At 40.4% G+C, this 20,323-nt stretch overlaps 1 protein-coding gene across 8 annotated transcripts in view, besides 2 other annotated features; it reads left to right on the top strand.

The window, feature by feature from the left end:
- The window catches only part of RDX (radixin), a 121,693-nt gene that overhangs the window by 87,490 nt on the left and 13,880 nt on the right, over positions 1-20,323 (top strand). For 4 of the 8 annotated variants that reach the window (NM_001440511.1, NM_001260495.2, NM_001260496.2 and 1 more), the window contains 2 exons: positions 9,447-9,544; positions 12,960-13,564. In NM_001440511.1, coding sequence (NP_001427440.1) covers positions 9,447-9,513 — 67 coding nt within the window. In that variant the 3' untranslated portion in view covers positions 9,514-9,544; positions 12,960-13,564. Of the gene's footprint in view, positions 1-9,446; positions 9,853-12,959; positions 13,565-20,323 lie in introns of those variants that run through there. The other 4 variants (NM_001260493.2, NM_001440510.1, NM_001440505.1 and 1 more) reach the window with 2 other exon arrangements.
- Positions 8,567-8,861: a silencer, noted in NCBI's record as "tiled region #13162; HepG2 Repressive non-DNase unmatched - State 23:Low". NCBI's record gives its function as "represses a minimal TATA promoter and a strong SV40 promoter by Sharpr-MPRA in HepG2 cells {active_cell/tissue: HepG2}" and the evidence as "EXISTENCE:reporter gene assay evidence [ECO:0000049][PMID:27701403]".
- Positions 16,100-16,209: an enhancer, noted in NCBI's record as "active region_5500". NCBI's record gives its function as "activates an Ori minimal core promoter by ATAC-STARR-seq in GM12878 lymphoblastoid cells {active_cell/tissue: GM12878}" and the evidence as "EXISTENCE:reporter gene assay evidence [ECO:0000049][PMID:35858748]".

Raw genomic sequence — 20,323 nt, 5'->3', positions numbered from 1 at the left:
CCACTGACCTGTGCCCACTCTCTGGCACTCCCTAGTGAGATGAACCCGGTACCTCAGATGGAAATGCAGAAATCACCCGTCTTCTGCGTCGCTCACGCTGGGAGCTGTAGACCGGAGCTGTTCCTATTCGGCCATCTTCCGCATTATATTTTTTAAAAGTATTACTTTGAGACAGAGTTTTGCTCTTGTTGCCCAGGCTAGAGTGTAATGACGTGATCTCTGCTCAATGCAACCTCTGCCTCCTGGGTTCAAATGATTCTTCTGCCTCAGCCTCCGGAGTAGCTGTGATTACAGGTGGCCGCCACTACCCCCAGGTAATTTTTGTATTTTTATAGAGAAGGGGTTTCATCATGTTGGCCAGGGTGGTCTTGAACTCCTGGCCTCAAGTGATCCGCCTGACAGCCTCCCAAAGTGTTGGGATTATAGGCGTTAACCTCCACACCTGGCTATTTTTTTAAATTAATAAATGATTGTTAAAGCCCTAGAAATCAAAGAAGAGTCTGTGCTCAAGAAATATTCAAAATCTAGAGGAAAGTTGAAATTGGAGAAGTGAAGATGGATGTGGATAGAAGGCTTTTTAAGCCACCCAATAGGTGTTGAATAAAATAATTCAGGAACTCAGTGAGCAAGTCTTCAGTGATAAGAACTGAACTCAGTCTGGAGAAAATTCGAGGTTGAGGATCAAAGGGAAGAAGGCTCTTGGTGAGTTTTAGCATGTAGAAGAGAGCCAGCGAGGAGGGTGGCCACTGTGAGAGCTGAAAAATGAAGTTATCAGGCAGCATTTGAGACAGGCTTATAGTTTGAGTTAACCTCCCGAATAAATGCCAGAGGAGAACGCTACATTCGTTTTCAGAACTGAATGAGTATTTCATTGAAATGTACCAGTCAATTCTTTGTGCAATTCTTTGTCATTTATTAGAAATTTGAAGAGAGAAAGCGTTAGTAACATTTTTCAGATGCTCTGTGTGGGTTATTTGAATGGCTTTGTAGATAAAAATAGATCTGGGCCGGGCATGGTGGCTCATGCCTGTAACCCCAGCACTTTGGTAGGCCAAGGCGGGAGACCACCTGAGCCCAGGAGTTTGAGACCAGCCTGGGCAATATGGTGCCCCGTCTCTATTAAAAAAAAAAAAAAAATCTGATTCAACTTCCTTATGATTCTTTATTAGATTTTTGCCTGTGTGTAATTAAAATGAAAATTGCGTTTTCAACAGAAAATTACTGTAATTATATTTTGCTTTTAGACTAGTAGATTCTATCAAATTAGAGCAAATAGGGCAAATGATCTTTATGAAAAGGCCCAGATACTAAACATTTTGGACTTTGCAGGCCAGTTGTCTCTGTCCCAGCTATACAACTCTGCTGTTGTAGTGCATAAGCAGCTATATGTAAATAATGAGCATGTTTGTGTTCCCATAAAATTTTATTTATGGACACTTAACTCTGAATTTCATACAATTCATGTGTCACAAAATATTCTTCCTCTGATTTGTTTAAAAAAAAAAGGTAAAAAACATTCTTAAATCACATTCTGTACAAAAACAGATGGGAAGCTGGGTTTGGCCAACGAGCCTCCTGAGTTAAAGGTTTTTAAAAACTAATGTTCTCCTAAGGGCCAGTGCTGTGTCTTTCTGTCTGGATGACTATTAATATTTTGATGTGACCCTAGGGAGGTCTTATTTTGTTATAATGAAGGGATTTCTTAGATACTTGAACAACTTTTGGCAGTGGTTCTCACACTAGCGTGCATCAGAATCACTTGGAGGGCTTGTTAAAACACAGATTGCAGGGTGCCCTCCTCAGGTTTCACATTCAGTAGATCTATGCAGCTGCTCAAGAATGTGCATTTATGGCCAGGTGCGGTGGCTCAGGCCTGTAATCCCAGCATGTTGGAAGGCTGAGGCGGGCGGATCACTTGAGGCCAGGAGTTCGAGACCAGCCTGGCTAACGTGGTGAAACACTGTCTCTACCAAAAATACAAAACTTAGTTGGGCATGGTAGTGCACACCTGTAATCCTGGCTACTAGGGGGGCTGAGGCTTGAGAATTGGCTGAACCTCAGGAGGTGGAGGTTACAGTGAGCTGAGATCATGCCACTGCACTCCAGCCTGGGCAACAGAGCGAGACCATGCCACAAAAAAAATAAAATAAAATAAAATAATTGCGTGTTTTAAAGGTGAGTCTGATGCTGCTGTTTTGGGACCACACTTTGAGAATTGCTCGTTTGGGTCTCACTCCAACCCAATACTGTGGAAATAACACAGTTGCTTCTTTTACTCAGTGTCCTTAGAGTAACTATTGACTTCTACATAGTTTCTTTGAGACCTTTGAAATTCGAATGGCTCAAAGACCAAAGATATTTGGAACAAAATTCATAACTTCCCCATCTATTGTAGTATTTTTCCTTCATTACTTTCTGTTTTTAAACACTTAAAAACTAGAGATTCATTTATAACAGTATTAGAGAATGAAATGCATCTAGTAGAAATATAAATGATGGAATATATGTATATATATTAGATACTCATGTATCAGTTTGAAAAATAGTATGTTGCCAGTAACTGGCACTGCATGTTCCTCTCCATCACGTCATCCGTTTCTTAGCTTTTACTATCTGTGTTTGTATCTACAACAATATAATGTCTAGTTTTGCCCACACATGAACTTTATACAACTAGTTTTTTTTTTGTAATTCGTGATGAAGTTCTCAAAACATAATTTTATTACACACACATGCACATCCATTTTGATGAATATAGCTGTGGTTCATTTTCACTGCTGTATTTATTTTATGAGTGCACTACAATTTATCAGTTCCCCCAATGGTGGACATTTGGATTGTTACCAGTATTTTTTTTTTTTTTTTTTTGAGATGGACTCTCACTCTGTCGTCCAGGCTGGGGTGCAATGGCATGATCTTGGCTCACTGCAACCTCTGCCTCCTGGGTTCAAGCAATTCTCCTGCTGCAGCCTCCCAAGCAGCTGGGATTACGGGGACCCACCACCACACCCAGCTAATTTTTTTTATTTTTAGTAGAGACAGGGTTTCACCATTTTGGCCAGGCTGGTTTTGAACTCCTGACATCAAGTAATCCACCAGTCTTGGTCTCCCAAAGTGCTGGGATTACAGGCATGAGCCACTGCGTCTGGCTATAGGATTGTTACGAGTATTTTTTAAAATCTTTAAACAATATAGCCACAGATATTTTTGTCTTCTATTCATGTTTTCTAGTGAATAAGCACAACAGTATTTCTACAGCAGAGACCTAGGGAGGGGAGTTGTCTGTCATTATGGAATATGCACATCTTCAACTTTACTATGTAACCATCAATTGTTTCCTAAAGTAAGGCTATATCCACATCTTCGCCACACTTCATATCACTAAACTTTTCAATTTCTGCCGATTTGATAGGTTTAAGATGACATTGTGCTTTTATTAATAATTTGCATTTTGTTAATTACTAATATAACATAATTTTTCTTTAAAGGCCTTTCATGTTTCATTTTCTTTGAAATAACTTTTTTTTTGCCTGTTTTTTATTAGATTGTTTATCTTGATCCAGTTAATTCAGATAATTTCTTTCCATTGTGGTTACTAATCTTTTGACATTTAAATGTTTTAGAGAGATTTCCTTCCATGGCTTACCTTGTCTCTTTGGCTTTTTATGGTGGTTTTTTTTTTTTTTTTTTTTTGGATAGGTAAACGTTTTACAATTTCTTGTAGCTTAATTTATAAATTATTCTCCTCATAATTTGTGGGGATTTTTTCTTGTGTGTGTCTTGTTTTAAGAAATTATTCTCTCACTTTATGTCATGAAGATATTTTCCTATATTTTCATCTAAAAGTTTGGTTATTTTTACATTTAAATCTTTAGTCCAGCTATAAATAACTTTTGTGCATGGTATGAAGTATGGATCCAATTTTATTTTATTTTTTTGTCTAGATGACTAGTTGTCTTGATACTTTATTTAACAGTTCATCCTTTTCCTATTGATCCCATTGCCATTTCTTTCATATTTCTTCCTCTGTTCTGTTATACTCTCATCTGTTGCATTGGTCAGTGTTTCTATCCCTGTGTCAATACTATTCTGTCTTAATTACTACAGCCTTTGCTTTTTAACAAGTCTTGATATCTGGTTGAGCTTTCTTAAAAAGTTGCTACACCTTGTTTGTAAAATAGGCTCCTGACTAGTTTTGGTTCTTTGTTCTTCTGCATAAATTCGTGTAACCTGTATGGGAAAAAATACTTTGGGGACTTTTGCTTGGAAATGTATTAACAGATTAATTTGGTAAGAAATTACAGCTGTACGGCCGGGCACGGTAGCTCACGCCTGTAATCCCAGCACTTTGGGAGGCCAAGGCAGGCAGATCACGAGGTCAGGAGATCGAGACCAGCCTGACCAACATGGTAAAGCCCCGTCTCTACTACAAATACAAAAATTAACCGGGCATGGTGGCGTGTGCCTGTAATCGCAGCTACTCGGGAGGCTGAGGCAGGAGAATCGCTTGAACCCGGGAGGCGGAAGTTGCAGTGAGCCGAGTTTGCGCCATTGCACTCCAGCCTGGGCAAGAAGAGTGAAACTCTGTCTCAAAAAAAAAAAAAAAAAAAGGAAAAAAAAAAAAGAAAGAAAAGTAATTACAGCTGTACAATATTAAGCATTCCTAATCATGAATATGCAGTGTCTTTCCACCAAGTCTTCCTTGATGCCATTCAGTAAAGTTGTTTAAATTTTTGCATTAAGATCATGTATTTATTTTGTTAGATTTATTATTAATCATCTTTTTGCTGTCATTTTCAGAGTTACATTTGAAAACTATTTCTGGCTGGTGTAGAGAATGCAGTTGATTTTTTTTTTTTTTTGCTGACCTTAAATTAAGGAACCTTGTTTCATTCTCACCGTTTCTAATAATTTGTGAAGTCTTTTGGGCTTTCTACACAGACTTTCTTCATTTTCTGCAAATAATTATAGTTTTCAGTCTTCTCCATCCATAAAACTTTTATTCTGTTTCTTACTGAGTTGACTGGCTGCAATTTCCAGTCCCATGTGGAACATAAGTGGTGTCTCATTTCTTTTCTTGTTTGAGATGGGGTCTCACTCTGTCACTCAGGCTGGAGTGCAGTGGCGTTATCTTGGCTCACTGCACCCTCCATTTCCCAGGCTCAAGTGATCCTCCCACCTCAGCCCCCTGAATAGCTGGGACTATAGGCACATGGCACCAGCCTAATTTTTAGTATATGACTTTTATCAGATTTATGAAACTTCCTTTTACATACATATACATATTTTTCTAAGAGTTTTTTCTTTTTAAATAAAAAGAGGGTTTTAAATTTATTAAACGCAATTTCTGAGTATATTGAGGTAACCAACCGTGTGTGTGTACTTTAATTTTTTAATTTTTAAAACTTTTTTGTAGATGATGCTACTAAAAATTTTATTTAAAAAATTTATTTTTAATTTTTGTGGGCACATAAGTATATATTTATGGGGGACATGAGATATTTTGATACAAGCATGCAATGTGTAATAATCACATATGGAAAATGGGGTATCCATCCCCTCAAGCTTTTCTCCTTTGTGTTACAAATAATCTAATTATACCCTTTTAGTTATTTTTAAATGTACAATTAAATTATTATTGATTATAGTCACCTTGTGCTGTCAAATACTAGGTCTTATTCATTCTTTCTACTTTTTTTTTTTTTTTTTTTACCCATTAACAATTCTCACCTCCCAACCTCCTGCTTCCCCACTACCCTTCTTACCCTCTGGTAACCATCCTTTTACTCTCTATCTCCATGAGTTTAATTATTTTTATTTTTAGATCCCACAAATCAGTGAGAACATACAATTTTTGTCCTTCTGTGCTTGGCTTATTTAACTTAACATTAGCCATCTCCAGTTCCATCCATGTAGTTGCAAATGACAGGATCTCATTATTCTTTATGGCTGAATAGTACTCCATTGTATGCAAGTACCACATTTTCTTTATCCATTCATCTGTTGATGGACACTTAGGTTGCTTCCAAATCTTGGCTATTGTGAGTAGTGTTGCAGTTAATATGGGAGTGCAGGTATCTTTTTGATATAATGATTTTCTTTTTGGGGGGTATATACACAGTAGTGGGGTTGCTGGATCATATGGTAGCTCCATACTGTTCTCTATAGTGGTTGTACTAATTTACAGTCTCACCAACAGTGTACAAAGGTTCCCTTTTCTTCACATCCTCACCAGCATTTGTTATTACCTGTCTTAATAGGATAAAAGCCATCTTAACTGGGGTAAGATGATTATCTCATTGCAGTTTTGGTTTGCATTTCTCTGATGCTCAATGATGTTGAGCACCTTTTCATATATCTGCTGCCATTTGTATGTCTTTACTTTTAAAAAAAAAACTGTTGGCTGAGTGCAGCAGCTCATGCTTGTAATCCCAGGAGGATTGCTTGAGCCCAGGAGATCAAGACCAGCCTGGGCAACATAGTGAGACCTCATGTCCCACCCTCCCCAACCAAAAAAAAAAAAAAAAAAGAAAGAAAAATTAGCCAGGTGTAGTGAAGCACACATGTGGTCCCAGCTTCTCGAGAGGCTAAGGTGGGAGGATTGCTTGTGCCTGGGATGTTGAGGCTTCAGTAAACCATGATCATGTCACTGCACTCCAGTTTGGAGGACAGAGCAAAACCCTGTCTAAAAGAAAAATGTTAATATACTAAACTAGACAGATTTTTTTTTTTAGATGAAGTCTTGCTCTCTTGCCCAGGCTGGAATGTGAGTGGCATGATCTTGGCTCACTGCAGCCTCTGCCTCCAGGGTTCAAGCGATTCCTGTCTCAGCCTCCAGAGTAGCTGGGACTACAGGTGCAGGCCACCACGCTCGGGTAATTTTTGTATTTTTAGTAGAGATGGCGTTTCCCCATGTTGGCCAGGCTGGTCTCAAACTCCTGACCTCAGGTGATCAACCCCTGGCCTCAGCCTGCCAAAGTGCTGGGATTACAGGTGTGAGCCATGGCCTGTACTAGATAAATAGATTCTTTAAAGTGTTAAACTAGGCCGGGCGCAGTGGCTCATACCTGTAATCCCAGAACTTTGGGAGGCCAAGGCGGGCGGATTACCTAAGTCAGGAGTTTGAGAGCAGCCTAGCCAACATGGGGAAACCTTAACTCTACTGAAAACACACACACACACACACACACACACACACACACACACACACACACACACACAAAATTAGCCGGATGTGGTGGCATGTGTCTGTAATCCCAGCTACCTGGGAAGCTGAGACAGGAATCGCTGGAATCCTGGAGGCAGAGGTTGCAGTGAGCCAAGACGGCGCCATTGCACTCCAGCCTGGGTGACAGAGGGAGACAACATCTTAAAAAATAAGTTCAACTAGGTTTGCGTCCCTTATTATATATTCTAACACATAATTTAATATATATTCTTGCTATAACTTGATATATATTCTAACCCATGGCTTACCGCTTCACAAATCCTGAGCCTCCTGTGTTGTGAATATCCAGCTCATGTGATTTTTATGTATCTCACCCTCACTACCCTTCAGTTGCTGCTGCCTTCAGCTAAAATACTGTCATCTAATCTCATGCCGCCACCTGGTGGCAAAGCTTGGAAATTTCTGACGTCTCTTCACCTTTCTTTCCCTGTTAGGGAAACTCATACATGCAGTTTTCTCCTTCAGTTCTATTCCCTCTCTTGTGCCTTTCATCTATTAACTTTACTCCCAAATCCTCCTTTCTCATGCTCTCCTAAATTTTCTCATTATTTTCATGAAAAATAATTCTCTTCCTTTGCTCTCTCTGCTCCTTTATGAGTCTAAATCTACATAAATAGTACTACTAGTTAATCACAGTGAGAATAATATTACTAGTGACTATGGAAAAACTACAGCTATACATTTTGAAATGACATTTCTTTTTTTTTTTTTTTTTTTTTGAGACGGGAGTTTTGCTCTTCTTGCCCAGGCTGGAGTGTAATGGCCCGATCTTGGCTCACCGTAACCTCCAACTCCCAGGTTCAAGCGATTCTCCTACCTCAGCCTCCTGAGTAGCTGTGATTACAGGCATGCGCCACCATGCGCGGTTAATTTTCTTATTTTTAGTAGAGACAGGATTTCTCTATGTTGGTCAGGCTGGTTTCGAACTCCCGACCTCAGGTGATCTCTGCCTCGGCCTCCCAAAGTGCTGGAATTACTCAGCCTGAAATGGCATGTCATACAATAAAGTGCCAGCCAGACTAACCTTCAAAGTCTTTGAAAATAGTTAGAATTCCCTTTAAAATGTTCTTAAATTTCAGGTACTATTGAACCATCGAATTATTTCTGGCCAGGTTAACATCAAGCTCAAGTATTAAAGAAGAATTATAAAACCATTAATAAATGTCATTGTTTCTATGTTCCTTTATTACAATCTTTGACAAATTTGGAGTTTCTACTGTATTTTACTGCAAAGACTCAGCTTTTCATTATGGGTTAAACTGCCTAGAAACAAAATCACTCTTCATGACGTGGTTTCCATGGGAAACAGCCCACCACAGCTGCCCTTTTGGTTCATAACTCATTCGTAAGATAGAGATTGCTAGTAACTGCATTTCTAATTGTTTTACCCACAAGGTTAGAAAATACTGTAACCAGTATTCTCCCCAGTCAGGGAACTGACTCATGGATACGTTTGGCCAGTTTAGCAGTTTCTTTGTCAAGTTAATTCTGACTTTGTTTTATCTCTAAGGGATATATCGGAGAATGGCAGGTGAGTCAGCTGAGGAAGACAGACCAGAGAGAGTAGGGCTGAAATTGACCTCTTTAATTCCGGCAATGCCAACGTGTCTGCAGAGGAGGTAGTTTTCATGGTTTGTTTGTCTTAACCTATCCAGTCTTTTAGTAGGCAGGTACTGAGAATTTGCTTATTCAAAAACATAGCAACTATTGATTTCAGAGTAGGCACTATAAAGTATTTTGGATCCATTAGTCTGGTTGCTACCTGAAAATAACTTTAACAATGCCTCGGTTAATCAAAAGAGAACTTCACATAAAATATAAAATCTGGTAGAACACATTACTGAATGACATGAAGTTCTGATTTTTATGGCTTTAAGACAAGACCTACTATTCTAAATAATAGGTCTTATTATTGAAAGAGACTAGTTAGCTTGTGTAGAGTTGCTGCACTATTTGAAGTCTAGCATCTATTTAAAAGGAAGGTTTAAAGTTATTCTTATTTCCACATTCTAATCGTGGAGTTTCAAAGGTGGACTGGAAAAAAAAAGAGGTTAAAGATTAGGCAGACAGTTTGACAATAACAGGCCCTACATAATCCAGGCTGACAAGAGCGCCCTGATGTTGCAATGTGCTGAGCAAGTAGTCAGCCTGCCCATTCAGCTTCCTACTGTGTTCTTTTGCTAAATGCTTTCTAATCTCTTAATGTCTCTTTTGAAAGGTGGGGACCCAAACTGTATGCATTGTTCCAGATGCGCTCTTGCCAAAGCAGCATAAAGCAAATGTAACCCTTAGGAAGAAGGCTCCCTCCCTCACTAGGTAAGTACAACTGGCAGCCGTGGCCAGGGCCAGCTCACCTGCCCACTAGACCTGCCACACCTTCCACTGCCAGGATGCTGGTGGGACCTCATAAAATCTGAACCTGTTCATCCACAGGACCTGTGGATTTCAAGTCAAAGGAACTGACCAAGAGCAACCTCTATCTTTACAGCCTCTGATTCCATCCCTTCCAGGTTCTTTCCCAATAGTTTGCATCTCTTGGGCTCTTTGCCAATCAAGAACATCATCCTCCAATTTAATAATTTTGAGGTGAGCTAGAATTTATTAAAATGATGTTTTACCTGTAATCTTGGTGAGCTGATTGGACCTCCTACTTTAGGGGATTCTCTTACCTTTAGAAAGAGCCCTCTCTAGCATTGAGAATGAAAGTATTATGGTGCAAGTTCTCTTATGACACTTCTGTTCTGCTGGGAGGTTTTTCTTCTTTTTAAAAAATCCATATTCAGGCCTGGTGCGGTAGCTCATGCCTATAATCCCAGCACTTTCAGAGGTGGAGGCAGGTGGATCACCTGAGGTCAGGAGTTCGAGACTAGCCTGGCCAACATGGTGAAACCCCGTCTCTACTAAAAATACAAAAAAAATTAGGAGTGGTGGTGCATGCCTGTAGTCCCAGCTACTTCGGAGGCTAAGGCAGAAGAATTGCTTGAATCCAGGAGGCACAGGTTGCAGTGAGCCGAGATGGCACCACTGCACTCCATCCTGGATGACAGCGAGACTCCGTCTCAAAAAAAAAAAAAAAGACGTATTCAGATTTACTTAAAAATGAAGTTTTGTACATGCACATTGAGTAGAACAGTGGCCCCCAACCTTTTTGCACCAAGGACTGGTTTCATGGAAGACAAATTTTCCATGGGCTGGGAGTGGGGTTGGGGGGTGGAGGGGATGGTTTTGGGGTGAAACTGTTCCACCTCAAATCATGAGGCATTAGATTCCCATAAAGGAGCGTGCAACGTGGAACCCTCGCATGCACAATTCACAATAGGGTTCGCTCCTTTGAGAATCTAATGCTGCTGCTGATCTGACAAGAGGCGGCGCTCAGGCCATAATGCTTGTTCACCACTCAGCTTTTGCTATGCCACCCAGTTCCTAACAGGCCACACGCCGGTACTGGTCCTCGGCCCAGGGATTGGGGATTCCTGGAGCAGAAGAATTAAAGAATTGGTTAATAAGCTAGGTTAATATAGTATTATGTACTGACCTGAATTTGGTAATATTTAAAAATCATTTTTCAATATGATTACCATGATAACAGGTTTTTAAATTCTTTTTTTTTTTGGCAGAGACTATTTGACTCATCCCATTTGTGAATAAAACCACAACAATGTTGTTTATGTTGTAAATCTTGAGTTCCCCCAACTTGCTGATTAAGCCTCCCAAAGTTCTCTAAACCTCCTTCTAGCTAAAGGTCAATATATTTGAGATAATATTTAAAGATGTAGAACCAATGTTCTTTATAGAAATATTATGTTTTAGACTTATTTATGTGACAAAAAAATGGTCACATGTGTTCATTTAAGGTGGGGAACTTTTAGAAGCAATTTGCTTCTTTGGCCTTGAATTTGGCCTGCCCTGAAATGAGTTTAAGGTCGTGCAAGATTCTCTCTGATATTTCATGACACTACCAAAACACTTTCATTGTTTCAAAGTCCACTTGAAATGCTACGACACATCCATCATCATTTGCTCTCACTCTCTTTGAAACGGGTCTAGCTGAGAATCCAGCTGGTCTTATTTCTGATATTTGAGCTAAAATCCTGGGTTAAAGCACATTCTTAATGTGCCATAGATTGCCGCAAACAATACTCTTCTTAGCTATTTATCTTTAGCCATTTCTTCCAGTGCAGAAATTCATTCATGTAACTCTTTCCATTTTGTCAACTCGTAAAACTCCCCAAAGTAAAATCTACCTGATCTTTTATGATTTTTCCTCCTTGATTTTCATCTGTTAATGTTCTTTTTAGAGCAAATCCTTTGAGTGAGTTTGACTCTGAGCTATTGTCGTCAGAAGTAGGAAAAGAAAGTTTCTGCATGAAAAGTCAAGATCAAATGACAGAAAGAGATTTTGAATTATCTAGACATGAATTTATGAAGGGATCCACAGAGTTGGTGATTGCCACATCCTCCAGCTTGAGGTGTCACATAGTTGGCACCCTTGGAAGAACTGCTGGGCCTCTCCATAGTTGATTATAAAATTATTGACCCAAGAGAAAGAACAGGGACTCTTGAGTGATGTTCTGGTCCGTCTCCCACTGCCCCCAGGGCTTCTCCACAGCACTGTCATCCTATCTTCCTCGTGACTAGGGGCCTGTAGGATTATGGTGACATTAAGGAATTAAACGTGACATCTAAAGCCATGCACAGGCCAGGCGCTATGGCTCGTGCCTGTAATCCCAGCACATTTGGAGGCTGAGACAGGTGGGTTGAATGAACTCAGGAGTTTGAGACCAGCCTGGGCAACATGGCAAAACCCTGGCTCTCCAAAAAATACAAAAAGTTATCTGAGCATAGTGGCACATGCCTGTGATCCCAGCTACTCGGGAGGCTGAGGTGGGAGAATTGCTTAAGCCCAGGAGGTCGAGGCTGCAGTGAGCCAAGATCACACCCCTGCACTCCAGCCTGGGTGGCAGAGCGCGACCCTGTCTCAAAAATAAAATAAGCCATGAACAAGATAGAACTGACTGGTTTCCACATGAATAGGACCCCTACAGCCTTGGGACCAGACTGTACCCAAATTACTAATCAACCCCAAAGCCTGGCACAGTCTGGTGTATTTAGAGTCATGGGCCTTTTTTCTCAACCTTCAGACCTTTCTCTGAGGCTCTGAGCTGATTTTAGCTGAGGAGGCCAGAGTAAACCCAATCTGCAGGTCCTCCCTCCTGGATTCCTGAGTTGGGAAGGGGCCTGAGGTGGGTCAGACGGAGCTGGTGTAAATAAGGTGAACTCATTCCCTAAGCACACACGCCCTGTGGCTGCTCAACAATTTCTCTTGGGATTCACGTCACTAAGGTGTATGTGACTGTGACATGAAAGAGAGAGTGTTTATACCGTCATCTTATATCCACATCATAATTCTGGATCAGAACATTGCAAAATCTATATGTGAGACTCCTTTTGAGGCCAAAAGTAATTCTAACCAGGCTGAGGTCAGAGTGTAGAGTTTGTGGACGCACCTTTATTTTGATACAATCTGTACATCATTACATTTCCTCACTGGCATTCCATTCCCCTTCATCACTCAACCATCAACTAACCATGACTAAATGTTAACTTACAAAATGTGCAAAGACATTCAGGGTCATGCCTTTTCAACTGAATGTTGATAATACGAGTGTTCAAGTTGAGTTTTCTTCTTTCTTGCCTGACTTTCCTATTCACTTTCTGTGTCTTCATGCAGGCCCCTGGCTACTGACTTATGGGAAGCTTTAGGATAAGGACATACCTGGTGTTCTGAATGTGTATATCCCCCAAAGTCTGCAATCTCAGCTGGAACTGGATGGACCAGTATTCCATTACCCAGGGCCCTGGCTCATGGTTCTCTCCTCTTCTCAGTTTACTGTTGGATTTCCCTTTCTTGCTATTCTCTTTCTCTCCAGACCCCTCTCAATTGCCTTTCCTAAAGACAGACCTTAGCAAGATGGGCCAGGACTTGGGACTTCGCACAGCACCCTGCAGTCCCAAGCCAGCATCTACTGCACCCCATCTTCAGGACTCTATCCCCCAAACATGCTGGAAGGCATCAGCTTATGAGAACCCACTTTTTTCTGCATGACTAGCTTGTAAGGAAGAATCTATGGACAGGATTTCCAAGAATTTCCCACTTTTTCAAAAAATGTATGTGACTTATATTTGGCTTCAATCCAAGAGCAAACTCAGTGGTGAACAGCTCCATTTCTGTGCACATGTTGGTGGAATCTGCAGAAATCGATGCAACATTTCTTTCCTGTCTGGGCTGTTTGTATAATTGTATATAAATGTAGCAATAAATATATTCTAACATCAGCCTGAGCCTTACTGCGCACTTGATTCTGCATCCTGGTGGTAGGCGGTGAATATTGCTTGCCTGCCCCATCTCAGGTTCCCATCTTCTCTGATTTCAGTTACTTCGGACCTGGCCAGTGTTTGGAGAAAGAGGGTTGAGGAGAGTTCAGTGGCAGAGCTGGGATGTGAAGCAGCATTATTAATTCATAAGATGGCACTAGTCCTGGCACTTTGAGGTGTTTTGAATGTCCAAGGACCGAAGCTTAGAGGATTGGGTGACAGTTTGTGACATGAGTCAGCTGCATTAACAGTCACTCTGGCTGGGCACGGTGGCTCACGTCTGTAATCCCAGCACTTTGGGAGGCTGAGGTGGATGGGTCACGAGGTCAAGAGAGCGAGACCATCCTGGCCAACTTGGTGAAACCCCCCTGGGCATGGTGGTGTGTGCCTGTAATCCCAGCTACTCGGGAGGCTGAGGCAGGAGAATCGCTTGAACCCGGGAGGTGGAGGTTGCAGTGAGCTGAGATCGCACCACTGCGCTCCAGCCTGGACGACAAAGCGAGATCCTGTCTCAAACAAAACAAAACAAAACAAAACAAAACAAAAAACAACCAAAAAAGTCACTCTTACAGCCTTCAAGAGCATGTTGTGCTGTGATTATTTGACAGGTATCTGCTGGGCACGAAGTTACCCCTTAAAGATTTTCTGAAAAACCCCACAAAATATGCCAACATGACATAGGATTTTCCATCTGTCACTGATGTTTTTCAAGGATATTAAGTCTAGTTATTTTAGAGACAACCTCCTCCTACAGGGGACACTAGGCAGATACAATATTGTTTGTCTAATATCAAGGAATATTTATTCCCAAAGTGGTCTCTTGTAATTTATGTGAAATCTTTGGTTATCAGGCACTTTTATAACTTAAAGGATAACCACATAGTTGTGGTTTCTTATCAAATTATGGTTTCTCAGTCCTCTCCTTGATTATAAGTGGAAGTTGGCATAAAATCATTCAGTCATAAGACCTGGGAATGCAAGAAACGAAAAGTTGTAATATCCGGCTGGGTGCAGTGACTCACCCCTGTAATCCCAGCACTTTGGGAGGCTGAGGTGGGCGGATCAGTTGAGGTCAGGAGTTCCAGACCAGCCTGGCCAACATGGCAAAACCCCGTCTCTACTAAAAATACATAAATTAGCTGGGTGTGGTGGCAGGTGCCTGTAGTCCCAGCTGCTCGGGAGACCGAGGCAGGAGAATCGCTTGAACCCGGAAGGCGGAGGTTACTGTGTGTCAGGATTGCGCCACTGCACTCCAGCCTATTGTTACCCTATGGCAGGGGCAAACAGCTCTTGCAAGATTACTTTTTGTGTATTAAAAAATACAGCCTGGAAGAGAATTGAGGAAATCATCTGTCAAGCTCTTTAAAACATTGAACAAGTAACTCTGAAGAGTTGTGCCACATCTGTTCTTACTCTCACCTTTTAATAGATATATCAGGGAACCTGAGGCTCCAGGTCAAAAGATAAAGAGGGCACAGCGTGGGCCGCTGCCTTCAACAGCTAATTCCTGTGCAATGCACTGGGCAAAAACCTTTTCTACATATGGGTTTTTCTAGCCAGGACTGGTGATATGAAGGGACGTTATTATAAAATGTATGGGACAAATTACCAATTGCTTCGGTTTATAATGCAGTAAGAGAGAATCCCAATTAGAGATAATGCTGTATAATCAAAAGTTTGGTTAATGAAGCTGTGAAGGATTGAGAGTTTTCAGCCTGTGGGTGTTAAAACCTGGGCATTTGCTGCGGCTCTGCCACTAATTAGTAGTTGGAATTTGGACACATCACTCCAACTCTCAGGGCCTCCGATTCCTCTGCTGTAAAATGAGGTGTTTGGACTAAATGATTTCTAAGGTTCTTTTTGTTCTTAGAGTGTCTTCTTTGGAAGAGGGAAAGGAGTAGCATAATTTTCATGTTAAAGAGGAAGGTCATTAGATGGCAAAAATGTGCAGTTGAGAGGAGAAAATAGTTTATTCTATTTTGTTTTGTAATTTCAAGATTTATTTTAGATGTAGGGTGTACATGTGTAGGTTTGTTACATGAATTTATTGCATGATGCTGAGGTTTGGGGTATGAATGATCCTGTCACCCGGGTAGTGAGCATACTACCCAATGGGTGGTTTTTCAACCCCTGCCCCCAACCCTCTCTCCCGTCTCTAGTGGTCCCCAGTGTCTGTTGTTCCCATCTTAATGTCCACGTGTACTCAATGTTTAGCTCCCACTTATAAGTGAAAATATGTGGTATTTGGTTTTCTGTTCCTATGTTAATTTGCTTAGGATAATGGCCTCCAGCTGCATTCATGTTGCTGTAAAGGACATGATCTCATTCTTTTTTATGGCTGCATAGTATTCCATGGTGTATATGTACCATATTTTCTTTATCCAGTCCACTGTTGATGGGCACCTAGGTTGATTCCGTATCTTTGCTATTGGGCGTACTGCTGTGGTGAACATGTAAGTGCATGTGTCTCTCTGGTAGAGTGATTTCTTTTCTTTTGAATATATACCCAGTGATGGGATTACTGGGTCAAATGATAGTTCTGTTTTAAGTTCTTTGAGAAATCTCCAAACTGCTTTCCACAGTGGCTGAACTAATTTATATTCCCACCAACAGTGTATAAGAATTCTCTTTCTCCACACCTCACCAGCATCTGCTGTTTTTTTTTTTGACTTTTCAATACTAACCACTCAGCCTACTGTGAGATGGTATCTCATTGTGGTTTTGATTTGCATTTCTCTGGTAATTAGTGATGCGGAACATTTTTTCATATGTTTGTCGTTGCTTGTATCTTCTTTTGAGAAGTGTCTGTTCATGTCCTCTGCCTACTTTTTAATGGAGTTATTTGTTTTTTGCTTCTTGAATGATTTAAATTTTTCAGAGACTCTGAATATTAAACCTTTGTGAGAAGCATAGTTTGAGAATATTTTCTCCCATTCTGCAGATTGTCTGCTTACTCTATTGATAGTTTCTCTTGCTGTGCAGAAGCTCTTTAGTTAAATTAGGTTCCACTTGTCAATTTTTGCTTTTGCTGCAATTGCTTTTGAGGACTTAGCCATAAATTCTTTGCTAGGGCCAGGTTTTCTTCTAGAATTTTTATAATTTGAGGTCTTACATTTAAATCTTTAATCCAGCTTGAGTCACTTTTTGTATATGGTGAAAGGTAGTGGTCTAGTTTCATTCTTTTGCATATGCATAGCCAGTTATCCCAACACCATTTATTAAATAGGGAGTCCTTTCCCCACGGCTTATTTTTGTCAACTTTGTCAAAAATCAGATGGTTGTAGGTGTGTAGCTTTATTTCTGGGTTCTCTACTGTGTTCCATTGGTCTGTGTGTCTGTTTCTATGCTCATATCATGCTGTTTTGGTTATGGCAGCCTTACAGTATAGTTTGAAGTTGGGTTACGTGATGCCTCTGGTTTTGTTCTTTTTGCTTTGGATTGCTCTGGCTATTTGGGCTCTTTCTTGGATCAATATGAATTTTAGAATAGCTTTTTCTAATTCTGTGAAAAATGACCTTGGTAGTTTGATAGGGATAGTATTGAATCTGTAAATGGCTTTGGGCAGTATGGCCATTTTAATAATATTGATTCTTCCTATCCATAAGCATGGAATGTTTTTCGCTTTGTTTGGATCATCTATGATTTATTTTAATTTTTGTTTTATTTTGAGACAGAGTCTCCTCTGTCACCCAGGCTGGAGTACAGTGGCATGATCTCGGCTCGCTGCAACTTCCACCTCCCAGGTTCGAGCTATTCTCCTGCCTCAGCTTCCTGAGTAGCTGGGACTACAGGCACACAGCACCACACCTGGCTAATTTTTGTAATTTTGGTAGAGATGGGGTTTCGCCATGTTGGCCAGACTGGTCTTGAACTCATGACCTCAGGTGATTTACCTGCCTTGGCCTCCCAAAGTGCTGGGATTACAGGCGTGAGCCACTGCGCCTGGCACCTGATTGCTCTTGCTAAGGTTTCAAGTACTATGCTGAATAGGTGTGGTAAGAGTGGGCATCCTTGTCTTGTTCCTGTTCGTAAGGGGAATCCTTCCAGCTTTTGCCTGTTCAGTGTGGGTTTGTTATAGATGGCTCTTCTTATTTTGAGATATGTTCCTTTAATGCCTACTCTGTTGAAGGTTTTTATCCCGAAGGGATATTGGATTTTATCAAAAGATTTTTCTGCATCTGTTAAGATAATCATATCATTTTTGTTTTTATTTCTGTTTATCTGGTGAATCATATTTATTGATTTGTGTGTCTTAAACCAGCCTTGCATCCCAGTAATATAGCTGACTTGATCATGGTGAATTAACTGGGTTTGATTTGCTGATATTTTGTTTTGGATATTGTGTCTGTGTTCATCAGGGATATTAGTCTGTAGTTTTCTTTTTTTGTTGTGTCTTTGCCAGGTGTTAGTATCAGGGTTGTGCTGGCTTCATAGAATGAGTTAGGGGGGATTCCCTCTTCCTCAATTTTTGGGTATAGTTTCAGTAGAATTGGTATTGACTTTTCTTTGTACATCTGGTAGAATTCAGCTGTGAATCCATCTGGTCTAGAGCTTTTCTTGGCTGCTGGGTTTTTTATTACTGATTCAATTTTGGAACTTGATACTGCTCTATTCAGAGTTTCGATTTCTTCCTGATTCAATCTTGGGAGGTTATGTGCATCCAAGAATTTATCCATCTCCTCTTGATTTTCTAGTTTGTGCTCACAGATGTGTTGATAATAGTCTCTGAAGATCTTTTGTATTTCTGTGGGATCAGTTGTAATGTCACCTTTCTCATTTCTGATTGTGCTTATTTGGATCACATCTCTTTTTTCTATTAATCTAGGTAGTGGTCTATTGATTATTTTTATTCTTTCAAATAACCAACTTTTGGTTTTGTTGATCTTTTGTATGGATTTTTGGGCCTCAATGTCAGTTCTGCTCTGATTTTAGTTATTTCTTTTCTCCTGCTAGTTTGGGGGTTAGTTTGTTCTTGTTTTTCTAGTTCCTGTAGGTATCATGTTAGATTGTTAATTTGAGATATTTCCATCTTCTTGATGTAAGCATTTATATTTATTTATTTATTTAAGATGGAGACTTGCTCTCTATCACCTGGGCTGAAGTACAGTGGCACAGTCTCGGCTCACTGCAGCCTCCGGCTTACTGCAGCCTCTGCTTCCCGGGTTCAAGCAATTCTGCCTCAGCCTCCCGAGTAGCTAGGATTACAGGCATGCACCACAATGCCCGTCTAATTTTTGTATTTTTAGTAGAGACGGGGTTTCACCATGTTGGCCAGGCTGGTCTCGAACTCCTGACCTCAAGTAATCCACCCACCTTGGCCTTCCAAAGAAGTAGTCATTTAGTGCTATAAACTTTCCTCTTAACACTGCTTTTGTTGCATCACAGAAATTTTGGTATGTGTGTCTCTGTTTTCATGTATTCCAAATAATTTTTTTTTTGAGATGGAGTTTCGCTCTTGTTGCCTAGGCTGGAGTGCAATGGCACGATCTCGGCTCACCACATCCTCTGCCTCCTGGGTTCAAGCGATTCTCCTGCCTCAGCCTCCCAAGTAGCTGGGATTATAGGCATATGCCACCACACCTGGCTAATTCTGTATTTTTAGTAGAGATGGGGTTTCTCCATGTAGGTCAGGCTGGTCTTGAACTCCTGAACTCAGGTGATCTGCCCACCTCGGCCTCCCAAAGTGGTGGGATTACAGGCATGAGCCACCACACCTGGCCAAAAGAATTTTTTTGATTCCTGCCTTAATTTCATTGTTTACTGAAAAGTCATTCAGGAGCAGTTGTTTAATTTCCATGTAATTGTGTGGTTTTGAGAGATCTTCTTTGTACTGATTTCTGTTTTTCTTCCACTGTAGTTCTAGAGTATGGTTGGCATGACTTCAGGTTTTTTAATTTATTGAAACTTGCTTTTTGGCTGAGCGTGTGGTCAATCTTACAGTATTTTCTGTATGTAGATGAGAAGAATGTATATTCTGTGACTGATGGGTAGAATAGTCTGTAGCTGTCTATTAGGCCCCATTGGTCAAATGTCAAATTTAAGTCCAAAATTTTTTAGTTTTCTGCCTTGATGATCTAATGCCGTTGGTTGAGTGTTAAAGGACCCCACAATTATTGTGTGGCTAAGTATTTTCATAGTCCAGAAGTACTTGTTTTATTAAGCTGGATGCTCCAATGTTGGGTGCATATATATGTTCAGGATAATTAAGTCTCTTGTTGAATTGATCCCTTTGTCATTATGTAATGCCCTTGTCTTTTTTTTTTTTTTTTTTTTTTTTTACCTGTTGTTCATTTAAAGTTTGTTTTATCTGATATAAAACTATTGGCTCCTGCTCTCGTTTATTTTCCATTTGCATGATAGATCTTCCTCCAACCCTTTACTTTGAACCTATGGGTGTCATTAAATGTCAGTGGGTCTCTTGAAGATAGTAGATGTATGGGTCTTTGGTTTTTTTAAAGTCGAATTTGTCACTCTGTGCTTTTTACGTGGGGCATTCAGAACATTGACATTCAATGTTAACGTTGATATGTGAGGTTTGGATCCTATCGTGAAGTTATTAGCTAGCTATTTTGTAGTTTCTATTGTGCGGTTGCTTTATAGGGTCTGTGAGCCATGTATGTAAGAGTGTTTTGTGGTGATAGGTATTGTTTTTTCATTTCCATGTTTAGAACACCCTTAAGGATCTCTTATAAGTCTGGTCTGGTGGTAAAAAAATTCTCT

The sequence above is a fragment of the Homo sapiens genome, chromosome 11 (assembly GCF_000001405.40).
Source record: "Homo sapiens chromosome 11, GRCh38.p14 Primary Assembly".
NCBI lineage: Eukaryota > Metazoa > Chordata > Mammalia > Primates > Hominidae > Homo > Homo sapiens.
The sequence above is the reverse complement of the archived record's forward strand: the minus strand, read 5'-3'. Positions and strand labels throughout refer to the sequence as shown.